General features: G+C 41.9%; 1 protein-coding gene across 56 annotated transcripts in view; it reads right to left on the bottom strand.

Moving 5' to 3' along the window:
* Positions 1-21,357, bottom strand: part of RGS6 (regulator of G protein signaling 6) — a 762,695-nt gene that overhangs the window by 119,008 nt on the left and 622,330 nt on the right. For 43 of the 56 annotated variants that reach the window (NR_135235.2, XM_024449761.2, NM_001370270.1 and 40 more), the window contains 2 exons: positions 15,760-15,870; positions 743-868 (listed from right to left, as the gene is read on the bottom strand). The exons of 1 other annotated variant lie outside the window; for it this stretch is intronic. Coding sequence is in view for 54 of the 55 variants with exons in the window: in XM_024449761.2 (XP_024305529.1) it covers positions 743-868; positions 15,760-15,870 (237 nt within the window). In the remaining variant the exon portion in view is untranslated. The remainder of the gene's footprint in view (positions 1-742; positions 869-15,759; positions 15,871-21,357) is intronic. 12 more of the 56 variants (XM_017021820.3, XM_024449776.2, NM_001370292.1 and 9 more) reach the window with 2 other exon arrangements.

Here is a 21,357-nt window from a genome sequence, read left to right as displayed (position 1 = left end):
GGAGACTTTTCCTTTCAATTCACCCCCTTTTCTTCCTCTCATATTGGACCTGAGGTTTTGAATATCTTATTTTTTTCTCCTATTAAATAGTAATTATTAATACATTTCCCTCATCAAGTATTAGTTATAGACCAATAGGAACAATCAGGTGTTCTCACTGGCGTCAGATGATCAGAGTAACCACTATTTGGAGTCGACAGAAGTCATTCTAAAAGAAAAAAGCATGTTTTTATTAGCTGCTACTGTTACGTAGCTGCTACAGTTACATCACCAGTTACTGAGTGATATTTACTTTGCTCTTTGAAATTCTGAAATGAGCCCACTGACTTCTCCCTCTTCCGTTTAGCTTCTCAGATATTCAGGACCCCAGACTGGGAAGTTTTGAGGAGACAGCCTCTGAGATGCCTCTCCACTCTGAAGCTCCCTGGTTCTATGGCTGTACTTAATGAATGATGTTGTCAAATCCGTTTGACTAATTATTATTGAAGACTTATTTCCAATTAGTCGCACAAAGGTCATATAGACTTGAACTGAAACATGCTGGTGTTAGTAGGTGCTATTATGGTGGTGACAGAGTTACATATTTTAATTTGTTCTTCTCCATTTCAACCTCAGCCAGATTAGCTGGCATTTGAATTTGAACCCTGATAACGTTTCATTGAGAGAGAGAGAGATGGAGAGACCGATTATGCAAATTTCTTCACACACATTCCGCACACAGCTCAAACTTTGAGAGATTTACCTGAGGTTTTCTGAACTGAATTCGGACTCCAGGAATCGTAGAAACTGGTCCCGCCCCACCTGGTCCTTCAATATCTCATCGAAAGAGAAGCCCCATCTTTTTACTCGCTGTTGGCTGGGCTCTTTGCTTTGGGGTGAAGGAAGAAGGTTTAAAGAAGATCAATACCAGAGAAAAGCTCGTGTCATATTCTCTTCAGTGACTCAAGTCTGTTTTGCAGTCACTCACCAAAGGGAAACATCTCATATTTAAGGGGCAGATTCTACAAAAGCTGCACAAATTCCAAATGCAGACTTTGGTACACCAACAGTAACCAATGATGAACAGTTTCTTTAAGGAGGCATGTTAAGTGATGGTTGCCGGCATGCCCTTCAAATGGCTGCTGTCTACCATGCCATTGATTAAACTCCCTGGACCATTCCTATCAATTATGGACTCAACTTTTGACTCTAATTTTTTCACTAGTACTATAACCCAGGATGCTTCATGGACCCAATCTTTCATCAAAACACACTATCCTCCACCTCCCACCCCTTCCTCAATCCTCAGGGGAGAAATTATGGTCCTGTTTCAAGCCAAGTGATGTACAACTGGTCAGAAATGTATTGACACATCCAGAGTAAAGCATATTCTCTTGTTAGAAGCAGAATGTTACATGCACTTATTGATTTAACAACCATGCACAGTGCTTACCGTGTGCTAGACACCGTCTCAAGCATTTTACATCTGTTAACCCACTGAGTCCTCACAACTGCTCTGTGAAAAATGTACTAGTATGATTCCCATTTTCCAGATAGGGAAGGTGAGGTCTCATGGTAGTTTGCCTAAGAATACACAGCTAGGAAGTAATGAAGTCAAGAATCAAATCTAGACAGCAAGGCTCCAGAGGGCACCAGGTCTTTTTTTTTTTTTTTTCTTGAGATGGAGTCTCACTTTGCCGCCCAGGCTGGAGTGCAGTGGCGTGATTGTGGCTCACTGCAACCTCTGCCCGCCGGGTTCAAGCAATGCTCCTGCCTCAGCCTCCCGAATAGCGGGGACTACAGGTGCGTACCACCACGTCTGGCTAATTTTTTTGTATTTTTAGTAGAGACAGGGTTTCACCATGTTAGCCAGGATGGTCTCAATCTCCTGACCTCGTGATCCACCCGCCTCAGCCTCCCAAAGTGCTGGGATTACAGGTGTGAGCCACTGCACCCGGCCCCAGTTCTTAATTCTGCCATGCTGCATAGCTCATCTTTGCTATGCTGTCTCACATTCAGACTAAAGAATGGGCATTGGTCTAATTCTTCTGGTGTTGGGCGATAAGAGTATTTCCTTCAGCTTCTGTCTTTCCATTTAAAGTTCACTTGCTGTATTTATGTCCTTGGCCCTTTAAACAGTGATAAGGTCCTAACTCACAAGTCACATGCTACAACTCTTCCCTATTCAAGGTGTGGTCTGTGAACCAGAAGAAGAACCATAGGCCCCACCTGCACCTGCTAAATCAGAACCTACAGTTCAACAAGAACCCTAGGTGATTTATGTCCACATTACAAATTGGGAAACATTGGTCTAGCAATACTCATTTTTCCTCTTTTAAAAAATAGATGCATATATTTTATTATTTCCAACAGACAGTAAGAGATTAAATCATGTTTCCTCTTATTATGGAGCTGACATATTCTCAATACTTGGAAAATTCCACTTAGTAAAAAAAAAAAAAAAAAAAAAAAAAAAAAAAGGAGCTTGTGTGCGTGGAAAGCTTGGGAAAGCAAATAACTGTAGACTGGCGCTGTCCAGTGTAATTTCCTGCAATGATGAAAATATCCCATAACCGTGCTCTCCAATATGGCAGCCACTAGCCCCATGTGGCTATTGGGCTGTTGAAAACTGGCTAGTGTGACTGATGAACTGAATTTTAAAATTCATTTAATTTTAAATGATTCAAATTTAAATTTAAATAGCTACATGTGGCTAGTGGCTACTATATTGGTATGCAGCTCTAGACATACCGCATCCAAACCCAACTACTTCTTCACCAACACACATAATCAGCAACAGCAGTATCTTCTAATTACAATGATGATGACCAATAGATCATGAGCCTGGAGGTCAGGGAGCCTCTGGCTTGCAACTCTGCATTTCCAGCATAGTCCAATAGGGTCATGGTGGTAGACTAACCCCATCAGGTCAAACAATGGGAGACTCCATGAAACACCTCTTCCAAAGTACCAGGCTAGGCCTTTCACAACAAGACATGAAGACAAATCCTGGATTCTCTCAAACGCAAGCCACAGACCTAATCAAACTCAATAACTTTCAAGGGAACCAAAAATACTGTTTGTGGAAGAATTCCCCTGGGGTTGAGGCTGGCAGTAAATTTAAGCCCCAGAGACTGCAGGACATTGTCTCTTTCTGCCAAGGTCATGCTATGACCAAGGATGGACCCAACCATTTACTCTTTACCAGAGGAGGATTCAGGGCTCTCCAGGGATGGTACTAGTGGCAGCTGTACTCGAATGAGGGCTGTGCCCATATTAGCAGCTGTAGAAATTCACTCAGACTTTGTAGTGACTGCCTCATGGATGCACACCCACCACCAGTGTCACCCCTTTCTGGTACCCAAGTGGTGAGTCCACATTCATTCCACCAGATTCCTTGGTGGTGGCAAGAGTGGGAGAAGGGCAATTTTTGGAGTGGGCCAGAAATCTTGGGGTGTCACTGTAGATGTAGAATCAGAGGGATGCTTAGGACAGAAGGTGGGGGTATCTGGAAAATGGCAAGGTCATAGTTCAGCAGAAATAAATGGGTCTAGAGAGACAGGATACCCTGGTGTATTAGCTTCTTAGGATTGCCATAACAAAGGACTAACAAACTGGGTGGCTTAAAACAGCAGAAATTTATTCTCTCACAGTTCTGGAGCCTAGAAGTCCAAAATCAAGGTGTTGACAGGGCCATGCTCTATTGGACAGCTTTAGGGGAGAACCAGGTCCATGACTTTTCCTTAACTTCTGATGTTGGCATTCTTCAGCTTGCAGATGCATCACTGCACTCTCTCTTCCTGTGTTTCTGTGTCTCCACATGGTGTTTGCTCTGTAAGTGTCTGTGTCTCTGCTTTCTCTTCTCTTTTTGTTTGAGATGGAGTCTCACTCTGTTGTCCAGGCTGGAGTGCAGTGGGGTGATCTCGGCTCACTGCAGGCTCCGCCTCCTGGGTTCACGCCATTCTCCTGCCTCAGCCTCCTGAGTAGCTGGGACTACAGGCACCCGCCACCATGGCCAGCTAATTTTTTTTTTTTTTTTTTTTTTTTTTTTTTTTTTTAGTAGAGACAGGGTTTCACCGTGTTAGCCAGGATGGTCTCGATCTCCTGACCTTGTGATCCACCTGCCTCGGCCTCCCAAAGTGCTGGGATTACAGGCGTGAGCCACTATGCCCAGCCTGCTTTCTCTTCTTATAAAGTCATCAGTCATATTGGATTAGGGGCCCACCCTATTCAAGTACGACCTCATCTTAACTAACTGCATCTGCAACAACTCTATTTCCAAATAAGTCAGATTCTGAGGTTCTGGGAAAGACATGAATTTTTAGTCGATACAATGTAACCATGTATACTTGGCTTCCCTCAACTATCCATTATTCACAATTGTATTACTACAACTGGATGATCCACATTTCTTCCTTATTTTCCTAGTACGATTTCACTACTGGGAGTCTGTTCTATTAAAAGCTTCCTAGATACATCTTCCCTATACATATCTCTTCTGTATCACTTGAGTATTCCCAATATCATCCACTTCAAGGTTTAAGAAAAGACTTGAACATGTTGTTACCACTGAATGGTCTCTTATGGTTATAAAATAATTCTGCAAATTAAAATATCTTTCAACATCCATCTCCAGGTAAGTGGTACAATAACTGTCCCTCAGCCAAATTCAAGCAAACAATCCACAGAAGCACAGTCTCTTTACATCCATTGTGTAGCGATATTTCCTTGGGACATATTCTCTAGTAGAGTTTTATGTCAGCATTTGGATTTTCGAGAGTTTATGCCATTGTCTTTCCAGCTATTTTTTTTTAGCTCTTTGAGGTCAGGGACCATATTTCATGTGTCTTTGTAATGAGCATAGGACTTTTCACATGGCAAGTGTTCAGCACTAAAATGAAATCAGTTTAGAAATGTGTATAGTGATGTGGATGAAGTGTCCTTATCCTGACAGTGTTTTCTAATCGCTAGCTGGATGCCTTTTTCTAACTCTTATTTGTCCTCTGTGCCTCTTCATTCTTATCAAGTTCCTGCCTCCCACTGGACAGCCCAAACCAACACATAGCAAAGCTCTCCAAGGGTGTCTGTCTTTCATTTCTGCTGATCCCCCAGCTAGAGATGGAGGAAAGTTACCAAACTGAGGACAAGAAAGCCAGATTCAAAGGAAGCAATTGTCTATATCAATGCTCATTTCTGCAGGAGCTTCATAGTGCTACACATGGTGTAAGGAGCTTTCCTTACAGTGCCCTATTTAAATCTTAATATAAGCCAGGGAGGCTGACATTGTATTTAAACATCCAGAGTTCAAAAGAGGTCAGATTGTCCAAGGTCACACAGCTGGTAGGTGGCAGCCAGGACCTGGATCCCAGGACTGCCTGTCTCCAAAGCCTATTCTTTTTTTCCACTCTGTTACCTTGCCTTCTACTACATTTGCCTCAATCAATATCTAAACTAAGACTTGGGGAATATACAAGCTATCTTCAAAACACTTAAGAATTATGTTAAGGACTAAATGTTTGTGTCCCTCTCCAAATTAATACATTGAAATCTTGATCCACAATGTGATCGTATTAGGAGGCAGGATATTTGGGAGGTGATTAGGTCATGAGTGGGATTAGTACTCTATAAGAGACCAGAGAGAGCTCCCTTTCCCTTCTGTCATGTGAAGACACAGCAGGAAGACAGCCATCTATGAACTAGAAAGCAGATCCTTACCAGATATTGAATTTGCCAGCACTCTGATCTTGGACTTCCTAGCTCCAGAACTGTGAGAAATAAATTTCTGTTGTTTATAAGCCACACAGTCTATAGTATTTTTGTAACAGCAGTCCTAACAGACTAAGACAGAAGTTCGTACTGTGAGTGGGAAGCTGCTGTAATGAACAACTAAAAATGTGAACGTGGCTTACAGTGTAATGAATAGAAGCTGGAAGGGTCTTGAGATATATGTCAGCAAAAGCCTAAATTGGCTGGGTGCAGTGGCTCACGCCTGTAATCCCAGCACTTTGTGAGGCCAATGCAGGCGGATCACAAGGTCAGGAGTTTGAGACCAGCCTGGACAACATGGCAAAACTCCGTCTCTACTAAAAATACAAAAAAAAAAAAAAAAAAAAAAAAAAAATTAGCTGGGCGTGGTGGTGGGCACCTGTAATTCCCAGCTACTCAGGAGGCTCAGGAAGGAGAATTGCTTGAACCCAGGAGGCGGAGGTTGCAGTGAGCTGAGATCCCGACACTGCACTCCAGCCTGGGTGACACAGTGAGACTCCATCTTGAAAGGAAAGGAAAGGAAAGGAAAGGAGAGGGAAGGGGAGAGGAGGGGAGGGGAGAGGAGGGGAGAGGAACCTAAACTGCTGTAACCAGGCCTTTAAAGGATATTCTGGCGAGGGCTCAGAAAGTAAAGAGGAGAGCTATAAAGAAAGCCTCAATCTTCCTAGATAATACCTAAATAATCCTGAACAGAATACTGGTAGAAATATAGATGGTAAAGGCCATTCTGATGAGTTTTAGACATAAATGAGACATATATCACCAGAAACTGGAGAAAAGTTGATCCTTGTTATAAAGTGGCAAAGAATTTGGCTGAATTTTATTTGGTTCTAGTATTCTGTGAAAGGTAAAACTTGCAAGCAACGAAATTAAATATTTAGCTGAGGAAATTTCTAAGCAATGTGTTGAAGGTGCAGGTTGGCTCTTCCTGACTACTTATAGTAAAACGTGACTTAAAGACAGAATTGTTAAGCACAAAAAGAAACCAGAACCTGAAGATCTGAAAAATTCTTTGTCTATTCATATGCAAAAAATGAGACCACTAATAGTGTGGCCAAGTGACTGTTTGATAAGTATATTAGTATGGATGAGTCATCTTAACAGAATCCAGGAACTATTCTTCAAGACAATGGAAGAATTACTCAAAAGCAATTCAGAGTTCATCAGGGCTGCCACTTGCACCATAGGCCCAGAGTTCAAGGGACATGTAGTAGGAGAGCAGAACAGTTTTAAAGGATCAACTCGTCTCTTCAATTTAGGTAGATCAGGATGCTCCTGCCCAGTGACTTGGGATGGGGTCCCCACAGAAAGCTGCAATATGGGCTGCACCCAGCAGAGCCATGGTGGACTGGGCTGCCCAGAAGAGCTGCAGGTGAGGAACCCCAGCCTGGGAAAGCAATAGGGACCCCAGGAGAAAGCTGCTGTAGGGCCATCCCACCAAGCTGTGGGGATGATGCTGCCACCCAAATGGGCCTGGAAGACCAGAGCATCAGCCCAGGAAAGCCATGGGTGTATGACTCCAGCCCAGGAGAGCTATGGAGGTGGGGCTGCTGCCCCAGTGGGTCTAAAAGACAGAGCATTGAGCCAAAGAGAATTATTCCTAGAGCCTTAAGGTTTAATGTTTTCTGCCCTGTTGCATTTTGGACTTACTTGGAACCCATTACCCATTTCTTCTTTCCTATTTCTCTCTCTCTCTCTCTCTCTTTTTGAATGAAAATGTCTATCCTATACCTCTCCCACCATTGTAGTTTGGAAGCACATAACTTGTTTGGTTTCACAAGTTCACAGCTGGAGAAGAATTTGCCTCAGGATGAATGGTATCTTTAATCTCATTCATATCTGATTTAGATGATATTCAGATAAGACTTTGGACTTCAGAATTGATGCCAGGACAAGTTAAGACTTCGGGGACTACTGAGATGGAATGAATGTATTTTGCATGCAAGATGACATAAATTCTGGGGATCTTGAGGTAGAATGTTGTGGACTGAATGTCTGTGTTCCCCTTCAAATTTATATGTTGAAATCCTGACCCCTAATGTGATGGTTTTGGGAGGTGAAGCCTTTGGGAGGTAATTAGGTCACGTGGAGTGGGATTAGTGTCCTTATAAAAGGACACCCCAGAGCTCTCTTGCCTTTCTGCCATGTGAGGACCCAGACATTTATGAACCAGGAAGGAGGCCCTCACCAGACACCCAATCTGTGGCATCTCGACCTTGAACTTCCCAGCCTCCAGAACTGTGAAAAAAATTTTTATATTGTTTTTAAGCCACATAGTATATGGCATTTTTGCTGTAGCAGCCTGAACAGACTAAGACAAGTTATTAGAAAAATTACGAAATAAGGCAATTCCTTAAAAAGAAAATAATCCAATGTCCCCATCTCAGAGCCAAGGCTACTAAAGAAACAATCATAATTTTATTTAATACCTCAAGAACAACCTGAGGGTCCTGAATACTCCAATGAAGAGTGGTCCAGTTACTTCTTTTTCTTTTCTTTTCCTTTCTTTTCTTGAGATGGAGTCTCACCCTGTCGCTCAGGCTGGAGTGCAATGGCACGATCTCAGCTCACTGCAACCTCCGCCTCCCAGGTTCAAACTATTCTCCTGCCTCAGGCTCCCGAGTACCTGGGATTACAGCTGCCTGCCACCATGCCCAGCTAATTTTTGTATTTTTAGTAGAGACGGGGTTTCACCATGTTGGCCAGGCTGGTCTCAAACTCCTGACCTCGTGATCCGCTTGCCTCGGCCTCCCAAAGTGCTGGGATTACAGGCATAAGTCACCGCGCCTGGCCCAGTTATTTACGCTGTGTAACAAACCATCCTAAAATCCAGGGGCTTAAAAAAGCCATTTATTAGTCTCTTTCACTCTCCTATGGGTTGACTAGGCTCCACTGGGTGGTTCTCACTTGGGGATCACATGGTTGTAGTTGGATGGCAGCTGGAGGTGGGGTCATTTGGAGATTTGACTGGGCTGTGCATCCAGGAGGGCTCATCACCTAACAGCTGATGCTAGTTGCTGACCAGGAGCTCAGCAGAGGCTACTGACCAGACTGTCTGCACATGGCCTCTCCAACGGCTTGGGCTTCTCCAAGCATGGCAGATGGATTCCAAGAAGGAATGTCTCAAGAGCAAATATTTCAAATGACCAAGGTGGAAGCCACCACAGGGGTTCTGGATTACTGGTTCTCAAATAGTTTGAGAGAGGGAAAAAGGTGCTCCCTCTCTTTTCATCTGGCCTTGGTCTTGGTGTCCTACTTGATGTAAAGAGGGAAGGCACCAATGGGGCCATATTTGGAGATCCACCACCATAAGAAAGGAGCTTGACTAATATTCCGGATTAATAGTTCTGTCAAACTCGCTGTGCATGGGCAGCTCAGGGATGATCTCTGCCTCTCAGCAGGTCAGGTTGGCTGGGAGTGAATGCCTACGGCCAAGCTGGACAAGCCAGGTTCCTTGTAGCTCTTTGCTCATGTGCCTGATACCCAGCAGAGAGGGAGAGCTAAACTGAAGTCATGCGGAGAGAGCAAATCACAAACCACATTCTGCTGACAACACCAGGTTTCATTAGACTCCAGCATCTAGTTAGTGGCACCACCAGAAATACTTTACATACGTATCCCTGGGACACTCTCCTGGTGGTTTTCAGATGACATAAAGAATTACGTCATCTGGCAACTTTTGACTGACTTCTCCTCAATGAGAAGCCCTGGCAATCACTATTTTCTTTAATTAAACTTTACTTCTCAGAATTTACTCTTTTTCTTTAGGGGTCTTGTTCTGTCACCCAGGCGGGAGTGGAGTGGTGCGATCACAGCTCACTATGTTGCATAAACTTGAGGTGTAGTTTGCCCATCCTTTAAAACAGTTGCCTTTTTTTCCCCTCTGAATATAACTTTCTTATCCTTGGACTTCCAGATCGAATAGCTTGTCTGAGAAGGAGAAAGAATTAAAGCACAATTTTCTGCTATTTATTGTATATCCTATGTCATCTTATCCGTGATTCTATTCAGCTGCTATGGCCATCCTCCATTTGGCTGTCTGTAACCTCCCCACGGCAGACTCAGTATATTCTCCACCTTGCAGAATTTAGACATTGTCGGTGACATCCTGGGCCCTGGAAATCATAACGAGCCTGCCTGGACCCCTTCACCCAGCCCAGTGAAGTCCAAAGCCCACCTGAGATTGGCAGGAATTCCTAAGGGAGTCCTGCATTCTCACTGTCTCTCCTTTCCCACAAACCTTCACCCACACCCACCAAACCCCTCCTCTCATGAAGCGTTTGGGAGGGTGGGGGCCTTACAGGAATTTGAGGGTCTTGAAAAATGGGTACATATCGCACCTCCTGGCAGCCTACTATTTAAAAAAGCACATACTAGACATTCCTGCTTTTGAAAAGTCCCTGGTCACCTCAATGCTAGGCATTTCCCTGGCCTTGCACAGAGACTTAGTTTTTGTTGGCCTCTGGCTTCTCTCCCTCCCCTGCTTTCCCCTGCCCTTAGTTCTCCCCTCTCAGGAACAGAGAATACATTTGTCTCGTTTTCTCAGCAGGACAGCACAACCCTCTCCCTTTGTTGTTTCAGTCTCTGCCAACCCTTCTGCCCTTAGGGCCTTACCTTCTGCCCCAAGTGGCTTAATGTCCTTTGCCAAGCAAGGAGGAGTTCTGGTGCCAGATGGTAAGATAGCATGTTTTATTTACCTTGCTACATTTGTTATCTTGAGAGCCCTTCTTGTTCAGAACACAGCACATAGTTGACTACTATACAAATGTATTGAATTAAACTGAAACCGAGAGAAAGTGACTCAATTATTTTATTGGTCATCTTCAGCCTTCGTTTTGTGGACAGAAACCATCCCTTGGCTGGAGTGTGATGTTGACACTGATTCCACCCTGTTTTTTCCTAACATCACTGCCAGCAACTAAGTGGGTAGGAGTAGTCTGTTGGGAGAAGAAACAGGGCTTCGTTTTCACTTGTATCTGAACACTTGATTCTGCCTGTAAGTGGACAGAACACTGTAGCTATCCTAGATTAGGCATGAAGTTCAGAGTCGAAGCTAGAACAACAGGAGTAGAACCAGGGCATGAGTAGTAGGGGGCAGGTAGCACCTCCTTGGGGAAAAAGTGCTGAATAGGTTGGAATAAACCAATAGGCCATGCGACCCCATTTTCCTACATGATTACATACTTCTTTGCTGACTTTCAAGAACAAAAGAGGAAGTTCATTTTATCATTGTGAATTAGGTTCACACATTTGCCTCTCCTCCTTTCCCAAATACCAATGAAACGATCAAATAAAGAATGACTTGTTCATCCATCCTCCCTCCAGCCCACACGGTGCCCGCTGTATGCCAGATAGGCCTAGGCGCTGAAATCATTCTATTTAGAAAGGGAACCAGGAGGAGGATGTGATATAGAACAGCTGGAGGGATGAGGTGGCCACTCTAGATTGGTGGTCACAGAAAGCCCTTCTGAGGAAGGGACACCAGTGCTGAGTGAGACTTGAATGAGAAGTGAAGCCAGCCATGTGAGGATCTGGGGGACAAGTGGCCAACGAGGAGGGAACAGGCAAAAGCCCAGAGCTCAGTTAAGTAAAAAAAAAACAACAAACAAACAACAAAAAAACCCCAAAAAAACTAAACACAGTATGTAGAGGCAAAGAAATTTCCTATCAGCAGATGAGAGCTTTGAGAAATTTCAGGAAGGCACGAAGCACATAGACTGAACTTGTGACATATCTGATCGACAGCAGCCTACGATTCCAGTGGAGGCATCAGAGAAGAAAATAGCTGAGTGTCCCCAACAGAAGCCTTGGGAAACCCCGAGCTCTGAGCAGCAGGATTGGAAGTGGAGGCAGTGGGTGGCATCAGACAAGGGGCATATGGAAGCAACTCAGGAACATGGATCAGGTTCCACATGGCCAAAAGGGTTTGCTAAGTTAAGGGGGATGTTTCCCGGCCAGCTTCTCATATGGACAGTAAGGCCAGAGGATTGTGTTCCTGCCAGCACAGCACACACACAGAGAAAAAACATCTTGGGAACCAGGGAGATTTTAAAGACACATTAGCTTTCTCCCCACCTCTCATTGGCTTTCGCAGATCCAAGTGGGTTCCCCTAAGACCCATTAGTGGAGGGAGAAGAGTCGACTTGTTGGGGAGTACCTTGGCGAGGAAATAGAAAGACATCAGAAACTCCATCAGGGCTTGACCCACAGAGTAGAACACTTGGCTGCAGGGATGTCACACTAGGAAGGGTGGGGGTCTACCTCCCCAAGACTCCCATTGCCACCTGTCTCACTGTAAGAGAGGGCCCAATCTTTTAATCTGTTCTTGGACCACATACCCGGGACCCAGAGGGGAACCTTGGCAATTGATCTATGCCCATCCATTCATACATTCAGGTGCAGCCCTGCTCCTGTGTGAACTGCTCAGGGGAAAGCCTGCCGGGGAACTCCGTGAACCAAACCAGGACTTCTTAAACTGTCGTGTGCCTCAGAACGCCTGGGGTGCTTGCTCAAGATGCAGACGCCCAGAGCCACCCCAGTATGCGTGTATTTTTAAAGAGGAGCCCAGGTGATTCTGATGCACAGCATGGCTTAGAACCATTGGCCCATACCATCACTGAGAGCACCCTCACCAGCTACTGATAGAGTCCTAGGCCATGGCTGCACATTAGACTTTTTAAATCTCCCTGATTTAAAAAGGGAGATTTAAAAAAAAATGTGGGGAGATTAAAAAACAATGTTCAATTGTGAGAAATTCTGAATTAATTGGCTGTGTGTGAGGACCAGGCATTAGTATTTTTTAGAAACTTCCAGGTGGTTCTAATGTATGGCAGGATTGAAAGCTAAGACCTTCATTTATAAAAATGAGCAGTCTTCCAAATAGCTGGGCATACAAAAAGAATGATCTGCTCTGAGCAGTGACCAGAGGAATGAATGAAACAATGAGCAGAAATGATGATTCTCTAATGAATAACCCCGAATAAAACTAAGCGGCAGAAATAGAGAGGAGATATGAAAATATGGAAAAAATATAAACTATGAAAAAAATCTATATCACATCTCCAGGGGGAGTAACATGATAAACACCAATAGAACAGAGCAGGCTACTAAGAAAAGAACAGTCCAAGAAGTATTAAGAAGTCTTGGAAATGAAAAGCTTGATTATCAACCACTCTCCCAACACTCAGTGGGAAAAGAAAAACTCTCTAAAGTATAAAATCACAGAATGGACACCAGTGAAAATCAAAGCAGTGATTCTGAAGAGCAATTCAGGAAATTGTATCCTTTGAATATAGAATAAAAAGACTAAAAGATGGAAATTATAATAGAGAAAATATAAAAGATGTAGCAACTCCATCCCAGAGGCCCAGACTTCTTAAAAAAGGATTTCCTGAAAAGTGAGGATAGAATGGAAAAAAAGCAGCAATAATTTTTAAAAAAGAGAAAAAAAATCCTGAGTTAAAGAAAGAGTTAAGTTCTTGACTTAGAAGGAACTACCTAGGGCTCATCAGAAATATTAGAAAGAAGATACGTACTATATACTAGTTATTCTTTAAATGTTCATAGAAATACAAGTTCAAAAATGTTGGTTTAAAATATATCAAGTTAACATACCTCTGGGAAGAATGGGATTTAAGGGAGGCAAAGGTAACTTCACTATTTTATATACTTCACTCTTGTTTGTTTAAATCGATGATGTTTTTAATTAAAACATTTAAAAGTTAATACAACTAGAATAGAAACTAGGGTTTTTACAAAGTTAATATAACATTAATAAAGTAAAAGTCAGGGAAGAGAAAAAGAAACAAGAACAAAGAATGAGATTCAGAAATATATCAGGAAAAAGATAAAATATATGATTCAAGTAAATGTGACTGTTTTATATCCAAATATCCAAAGCAAAACATATTGCTAGAATCTGTCTAATAAACATGTGAAAAGATTCTCAAGTATATTAACAAGGAAACAAAACAGTAAAATGAGAATTATTTTAACCTTTTGGATTTGCAAAGACAAAATGATTGATGATGCTTGGGATGGTAAGAATGTGGGGAAATGGGCACTTTTAAGCTAAGGGAATGAAAAAGATGTGTTACAGTTTTGCTCAAGAGGAATCTGGACCTACGAACTAAAATTAAAATATGCATACCATTTCTACGAATTCTACTCCTGGAAAATATATACTGATGAAATAATTGAACTTGTGTAGAAAGATGTTCCCGGAATCATTGTTTATGGTGGCAAAAAAGGAGGACATAAGCTAAATATTTATGATCCAGGTACTGGTAAAATAAATCTTACTTCACCGGTGCCAGGGGATAGTATGTAGCTATTAAAAAGAGTAAGGTGGATCTATATGTGTTTACATGGAAAGACTGCCACGACCTATTGTTAATTTAAAAATTATTGGACTATATATATATATGTACATATTTGGGTATATATATTGAACCCAATTATACAAAAGGATAGAATGTTATATGTGCATAAAAATCCAAAGTAATAGACACTAAATCAGATGTTCCCAAATTTGCTGAGCTCATGGTACCCTTAGCGTCTCAGTAAGTTTTTCACAGTGCCCCTGGGCCAAAAGAAATACTTAACAGTGTCATTTATTATGGCTAGGACCAATCAACTTAATATGTATTTGTATCCTAACAACTTAGTAGCTGTTTGAAAGACACATAAATTGAAAATTTTGTTTTCATTCTTAAATAACTACAATATGCACCTATTGGGCACTACGCATTTTCTTAAATTTTGGAATTAGGTTGGAACTTACCGTCCCTATTTCTTATTCCATGTTAATTTTTGTGCAGTTCTTGCTTTTTATCATAGTGACTGCTCCGAAAAGCCAGATTTGCAAAGATGCGTATCATCATAAGGGATGTAACGTGCTCTAATGTTGAAACTGAACCATCTTAAGCTAGTAGTTTATGCAGTATCTGCCATGTGTCAACCATCGCTGTGTTTCCATAAAAAATTTGGACTATCCAGTGGTAACTCTGTGAGTTCCCCACAGTGCTCAGGGTGCTCTGATCCACTCTGGGAACCACAGCATTAGACTATAAACAAAGGTTCTTTCTGGAAGGTGAAATCGGGTTGGAGGAAGAGAGCATTTTCTTCTTTATGCACATCTGGATAATTTGAACTTTTTAGAATGAGCATCTGCGACTTTTATTATTTTTATAAGATTTTTTCCATTTCAGGAAAAGCAGCCAGAAAAGGGGCAAAAGTGAAAGACAATGTGAGTGACAGAGACATGAAAAGGGAAATAAAAATTCATCCAGCCAAGGTGCAGGGGGTGTGAAGGCACACCACACTAGCTTTGTCTGTGTGTTTCCTTCTGTAATTCTGAAAGTGGTCCAAGTCCCTCTGGGCTTTGGTTCCTCCCCTCTTAAGTAAACACAGTGGCTTCCCTCACAGGGAAGGAGAAACTGGCTGGAATCGTTGCTGGCAGTTACTCCAGAAGAACAGAGTGATGAAATCATGGTTCTGGAGCCCTCTGCCTGAGTTCTAGTCCTAACTCTGCTGTACTAGCAGTATGACCTTGGGCAAGTTCATTAACTCCTCTGTGCCTCAGTTTCCATAACTGCTGAGTGGTGAGAATAGTAATGTTTACCTGTCGAGGGGATTCAGTGAGAGACACTTACTGCAGGATGTGGCCAATGCAGAATACGTGCCAGCTATTATCATTATTGTTGCTGTCTAACAGGAAAAAAAATTGGAACAACAGATTCTTTTCTTCCAGCAATCAGAACTAGGGAATGGTGAGGGACTGTCTCAGTTATCATGGTATCCAAAGGGTCAGAGGGGAGCCACAAAGGATCCATGCACAAATCAAAGCTATAAGGAGGTAGAAACTGTAAGTAGAACTCAGCTGGGAGGCTACTTGAGGGGTTTCTGTTCTAGCGATAAAAAATGTCAAATTAAGATAGAATATAAGGTAATCTCATGATCTCATGGATTTTTGTCTACATTCATCCCACTCCCAAACCTTAAAACATTTTTTACCTCATCTCTATGTCCCACAAAGCAACGTCATCGCTGATCCAAGGGTTGGATGGCTCAGCTGGTGTTATCAAAGGGTCATATTCCACATATTGTTCCGTGTAGGCAATTAAACTGCAGGAGGGAGGCAGAGCAAAGAATGCCACTGATTTCCTTAGAAAACCCCTTTATTCTGTTTTACACAAACATTATAGCAGTCTTCACATAATTCTAAATTAAAGGAAAAAATTTATTTCCGCTCCCACTTCTGACACATCAAACTGTTTTCATTTGTCCTTATTTCCTTCTTATAACGAACATACCATTTTTGCACTGTTGCAGCCATGATATATACATGCATTTTATATATCTTTTCCTCACTTGATTCTTTACCTGAACCTTGGTGCATCTCTCCCTGGTTATGCTAGCCTTACTGATACTAATACACTGGTCAAAACTGTTTGTGTTCCACCCTCCCACAAAGACTGATTCTCGAGGCATCTGGAACACACAAAAGACACTACAGCTCCACCAGACTGCCAGCTCAGCATTCCCAACGGAAGGACTTTCTTATGATAAAGACTTTTAAATATCAGCAGACCACAAGGAGTAAACATTTGCATTTTTTTCCAAAAAAGCAACTTTTCTAGTTATAATTATGATCTAATAGATATGTTGATCTTATAGATTGATATAATTTATTTTAGACTAATTTTTATTCTTATCAAAATGTATGTGAATAGTTAGAATAATAAAATAGTACCAAATGATTATATATACTAAAAAAGCAAAAGCAATTATTTTTTCCTCCCATCCCTTCTCAGAGAGGCATCTACTTTCCACCTTATGTTTTTTCTAAAAGCTACCTATATATTTCTAAATTATACGCTTTTATATCTATTCCTGATTTTTTTATTTTAGACAAGAATTTATCTTTCTATTCACCAGTCCTCAACTCCCTCCTTTTCTTACGTGATCCTCCAAATAGATTTGTGTTACAATTTTTGTTAAATCAATGGTCAGTGTAACATTATTAAACTAGATAAAAATTGTTTGCTGTTCAGCTAAATATCATACTACTTTTTCCAAGCAAGTGTTTTAACAAACCTGTAAAACATCTAGCAATCATTTTTTTATACCTTAAACACATCAAATAATTGAGCAGTTCTGTCCTCTTGTTTCCCAGAGATCCTCTTTCCTGAAGTCTTTAGTCTTCTTGCTCGAAACTGGATCATTTGCTCTATAGACTTGATGGAAAATGATCTTTTTGGGACTTCCTTCACTTCTGTGTTGAAAAGCCCATGTTTCCTGGATTCCATGTCTATCTCTTGCTTTTACTCCCTGATTGTGTTGAAGCACATCCTTTAGTAGTTTCGTAATAAAGGATGCATGAGAATCCTTGCAAGTCTAAAAATGCTTTTATCTCCATACTTGACTGATAGTGCTAGACATAGAACACTAGGTGAAAAATCTCTTTCCTTTAGAAATTTGTAGGCATCACTCCATGTTTTTTTTTTTCTGGTATGCAGTGTTACTATTGAGAAGCCTGGATCCATTTTGATTCTCGTTCTTTGGTTCAGTTTCTTTTCTCTCTGTCAACTTAGAATCATCTCTTTATTGCTAGAGTGTTCTGCAATTTCATGATGGCCCTTGCTGGTTGTTGTTATTTACTATGCTGGGCACAGTGTGTGATAGATAAGAAAATAATTATCAGGAATTTTATAGTATTCATCACTAATTTTAAACCCTTTGTTTCCTTTGTTTGCTTGTCCTATATTTTTTTTTCCAGTTCAATATTGGACATCCTGAATTGTTTATTTTCCCTCCCATTTTTCATCTCCTTGTCTTTTTGTTAAACTCTCTTTTAACTATTTATTTATTTTTTAATTTTGAGCCATTACTTTCTAAGTTTCAGAGTTCACTTTTGGTTATCATAGTGTCTAGTTCTTGTTTTATGGATGAAATACCTTCTCATTTCTCAGATAATATGAGTTCTATACTTTTATTGTAAGTTTCTTCCAGTTGTTGAATTATTTTGGTTCTTCCAAGTTCCTTTTTTCTGTCGGTTTATTTTGATTATACTCTTTCACGCTGAGCCTTCCTGGAGTGTCTGGAAAATCTTTGGACATCCATTTGTACTTAAGACTGAGGTACTGAAACCTGCTTGGCGGCTCAGTGGGCGTGTGGATGGGGCTTGTCACTGATGGGCTTCATTGTCATAGGGAAGTTTACCAGTATTTTAATGGGAGCTCCAAATGAGGGATCTGGAGTCTTTCCTCTGGGGCGTCTATTTTTCCCTAGGGCAGGCATTGGCAAGCTTTTTCTGCAGGGCCTAGATAGTAAATATTTTAGGCTTTGTGGGCCAGATGGTGTCTGTTGCCACTACTCAGCTCTACTGCTGTGGCATAAAAGCAGCCATAGACAGCTTGCAAATGAATGCGTGTGACTGTGTTCTAATAAAACTTTATTTGCAAAAACAGAATGGAGTATGGTTTGGCCCACAGGTTGTACTTTGACAGTCTCTTGCCTGTGGGTATATATGTCTGGCTCCTGGAGGCCTGAGAGCAGGGTCGGGGAGGGGCTGAGGGTCTGTTGGGGCTCAGAACATGATACCCTAAAGTATAGTATGTTGGCATGCTGAGTACTTTGAACTAAAGGAGAATGGAAGGGCCTCAGAAGCCAAGGCTTTCACCTTCTCTCCTGCCCCCGTCTCCCATCCCTTTTTCTCCCCCGACGTAAGTCATAGAAACAAGAATTCTTTTTCGCCAAAGTGGGTCATAGAAACTAGAATGCCTCTCCTGCAAAGCAAGCCACAAAACCTAGAAAGGTCACTCGCTCCCTTCTCCCTTGAAAACCCTCATTCCAGAGAGGTCCTACCTGGGAGGTAGGAATGCTACTCAGAGACACTAAGAAGAATCTGAACAGACAGGCCTTGCTGGGTTTCCTCCCCTCAGTCTGTTACCAGTAGATCACACCCTTTTGTCCAATCACATTTCTACAAGGCTTCCCATTCTTCATGGAACCTAAGCACAAATACAGTTTTCCCTGGGTCTTTGAGTCTTCATTTCTGAAGGCTTCTGTGTCATGTGAAACTGATGAAATAAATGCATTTATGCTTTTCTCTTGTTAACCTCTTTTGTTATAGCAGTGTTGGCCGTAATCCTTATGGTAGATGAGGAAAGGTATCACACTTTCCATCCCTACAGGCCCCACAGTTCAGTGCGTAGAGCTTCCATTAATTCTCTTATTTTCAGGTGGCCTCTTATGAGATCTGATGTGTCTGAGATCTGAGCGTATGTGGCTCAATTTCTCTCAAGAAAAAACTGCCCATCTCCTGCAGTGGTGGTAGGTGGGAAGGATTGTTTCCTAGTAGGGCAGGAGATCTAGGGGTGCAAAGTCTCCTGTGACAGACTTGACCATTCCTCTGCTGTTAGCCCCATGCCTCATTCCTGCTTTCCATGGTCCCTAGTGCCTTCAAGAGCCAAGGCCAGGCTTTGTTGCGAAAACTGGCTCACTTTGTCACATCACTTCTGCCCCCAACATGTAGGTTAGAATGTTCTTTACTCTGTCCCTATGCACTTTCTTTTTTATTAAATTTTGAAATATTTCAGGCATACAGAAATGTATAAAAATTGTAAGATTTTACTTTGATACCTTGTACTCGCTGACCAATTAAAAAAATAAAAAATAACAAATACAGACATAGGGGCCTGTGGTTATGTTCCCCAATTACGTAAACTTTGTATCTTGGACAAATGTGTTGAAATTATTAATAGTTTGTTAACCTTGTGAGTTCATGCCATTTTTGTTCCTTTAGTGACATGTTGCATTTGAGGAAAGGGAGAAGATGAACATATGTCTACAATATTGTCTTGGTTGCATTGAGTGACTTTATTACAATTTACTTAATCGTTTCCTTTTTATTAGACACAGATTTTTTTCTTTTTTAATATACATAGTGCTGTGGTAGAACACCGTTGTTCACACAGATTTTTTTTTTTCATCTTCTGGGTTATTTATTTAGAATGCATATCCATAAGCAGAATTATTTGACCAAAAGGTATGAATATTTTTATGGTTATCGATCCACAATAAAATTTTTCCTTAAGCATTGCCAGCTTGTGTGTCAGCATCTTCTCCCACAACAGCAAAGTCAGAGCCACAATTCCTACTACTGAATTGCAAAGGGCAATAATGGCCAATTAGCTTAATGCTGAACAGGCAGAGAAATTAGTCAGAGGTGCCATCTCATGCTACTGGAAGTGTGATCCATAAACCAGCTGCACTGGCATCACCTGGGAGCCTGTTAGCAATGCAGGATCTCAGGTCCCAGCCCAGGCCTCCTGAGTCAGATTCTGCTTTTTAATAGGATCCCCCAGGTGATTCATATGCACATCCAAGTTTGAGAGAACCATATCTCATTCCTCAATTTTCTGAAACATTCAGGACACAAGATGTTTTATTCATCAAATCAAAATGAAAGAGCCCCTGGTAATTTTGGTTTTGAAGATGGATGTAAATTTTCGGACACCTCAGAGCCTCCTCGCTGTCCCAGGTGTTTATCATGACCCCTGGGGTAGAAGCAGCAGTGGTCCCAGTTGAAAAGCCTTAGTTTGAATTCTTGGTTGAGTCATTTAACTGATCTTTGTCAAGTTCATCATGTTATATAACAGGCTTGTTGAGCACTCAGGACCATTGTGATAGAAAATGGGAAAGCATCTCCAAAGAATCTTGACAATCCTCTACAAATATAAAATAGACAAGCGAAACCACGGGCACACTAGAGGCACATCCTCTGTCCTATAAATCTCCTGCAAGGTATGCATCTTCCCTGGGGCCAGGCTTCACCAATAAGAGCTGTATTAGTTTGTTTTCATGCTGCTGATAAAGACATACCTGAGACTGGGCAATTTATAAGAGAAAGAGGTTTAATGGACTTACAGTTCCATGTAGCTGGGGAGGCCTCACAATCATGGTGGGAGGCAAGGAGGAGCAAGTCATGTCTTACATGGATGGCAGCAGGCAAAGAGAGCGAGCTTGTGCAGGGAAACTCCCATTTTTAAAGCCATCAGATCTCATGAGACTTATTCACTATCATGGGAACAGCACAGGAATGACCTGCCCCATGATTCAATTACCTCTCACTGGGTCCCTCTCACAACACATGGGAATTCAAGACGAGATCTGGGTGGGGACACAGGCAAACCATATCAAGAGCTTTACGACATCTCAGGCAGAATGAACCTGGGCAAGGGAGCTGTAAGAAAGCACTATGGCAGGAAGGACCAGGCTACAAGTTGGTGCTGCACCTGGAAGCCACTTCTTAGCTACTTGGGCTGATTGAATTCTTTATAAAAGAAATGGCATTGCATGTTGAGGAATATGTTAGTTTTCTAGGGCTGCAATAACAAATGACCACAAATGGTTAAAACAACAGAAGTTTATACTCGGTTTTGGAGGCTAGAAGTCTGATATCAAGGTGTTGGCAGGGCCATCCTCCCTCCGAAGGCTCTAGGGGATAATTTCACCTCGCCTCGCCTCGTCTCACCTCGCCTTGCCTCTCCTTTCCTTTCCTTTCTTTTCCTTCCAGTTTCTGGTGGCTCCAGGCATGCCTTGGCTTGT

Source organism: Homo sapiens, chromosome 14 (assembly GCF_000001405.40).
Source record: "Homo sapiens chromosome 14, GRCh38.p14 Primary Assembly".
NCBI lineage: Eukaryota > Metazoa > Chordata > Mammalia > Primates > Hominidae > Homo > Homo sapiens.
The sequence above is the reverse complement of the archived record's forward strand: the minus strand, read 5'-3'. Positions and strand labels throughout refer to the sequence as shown.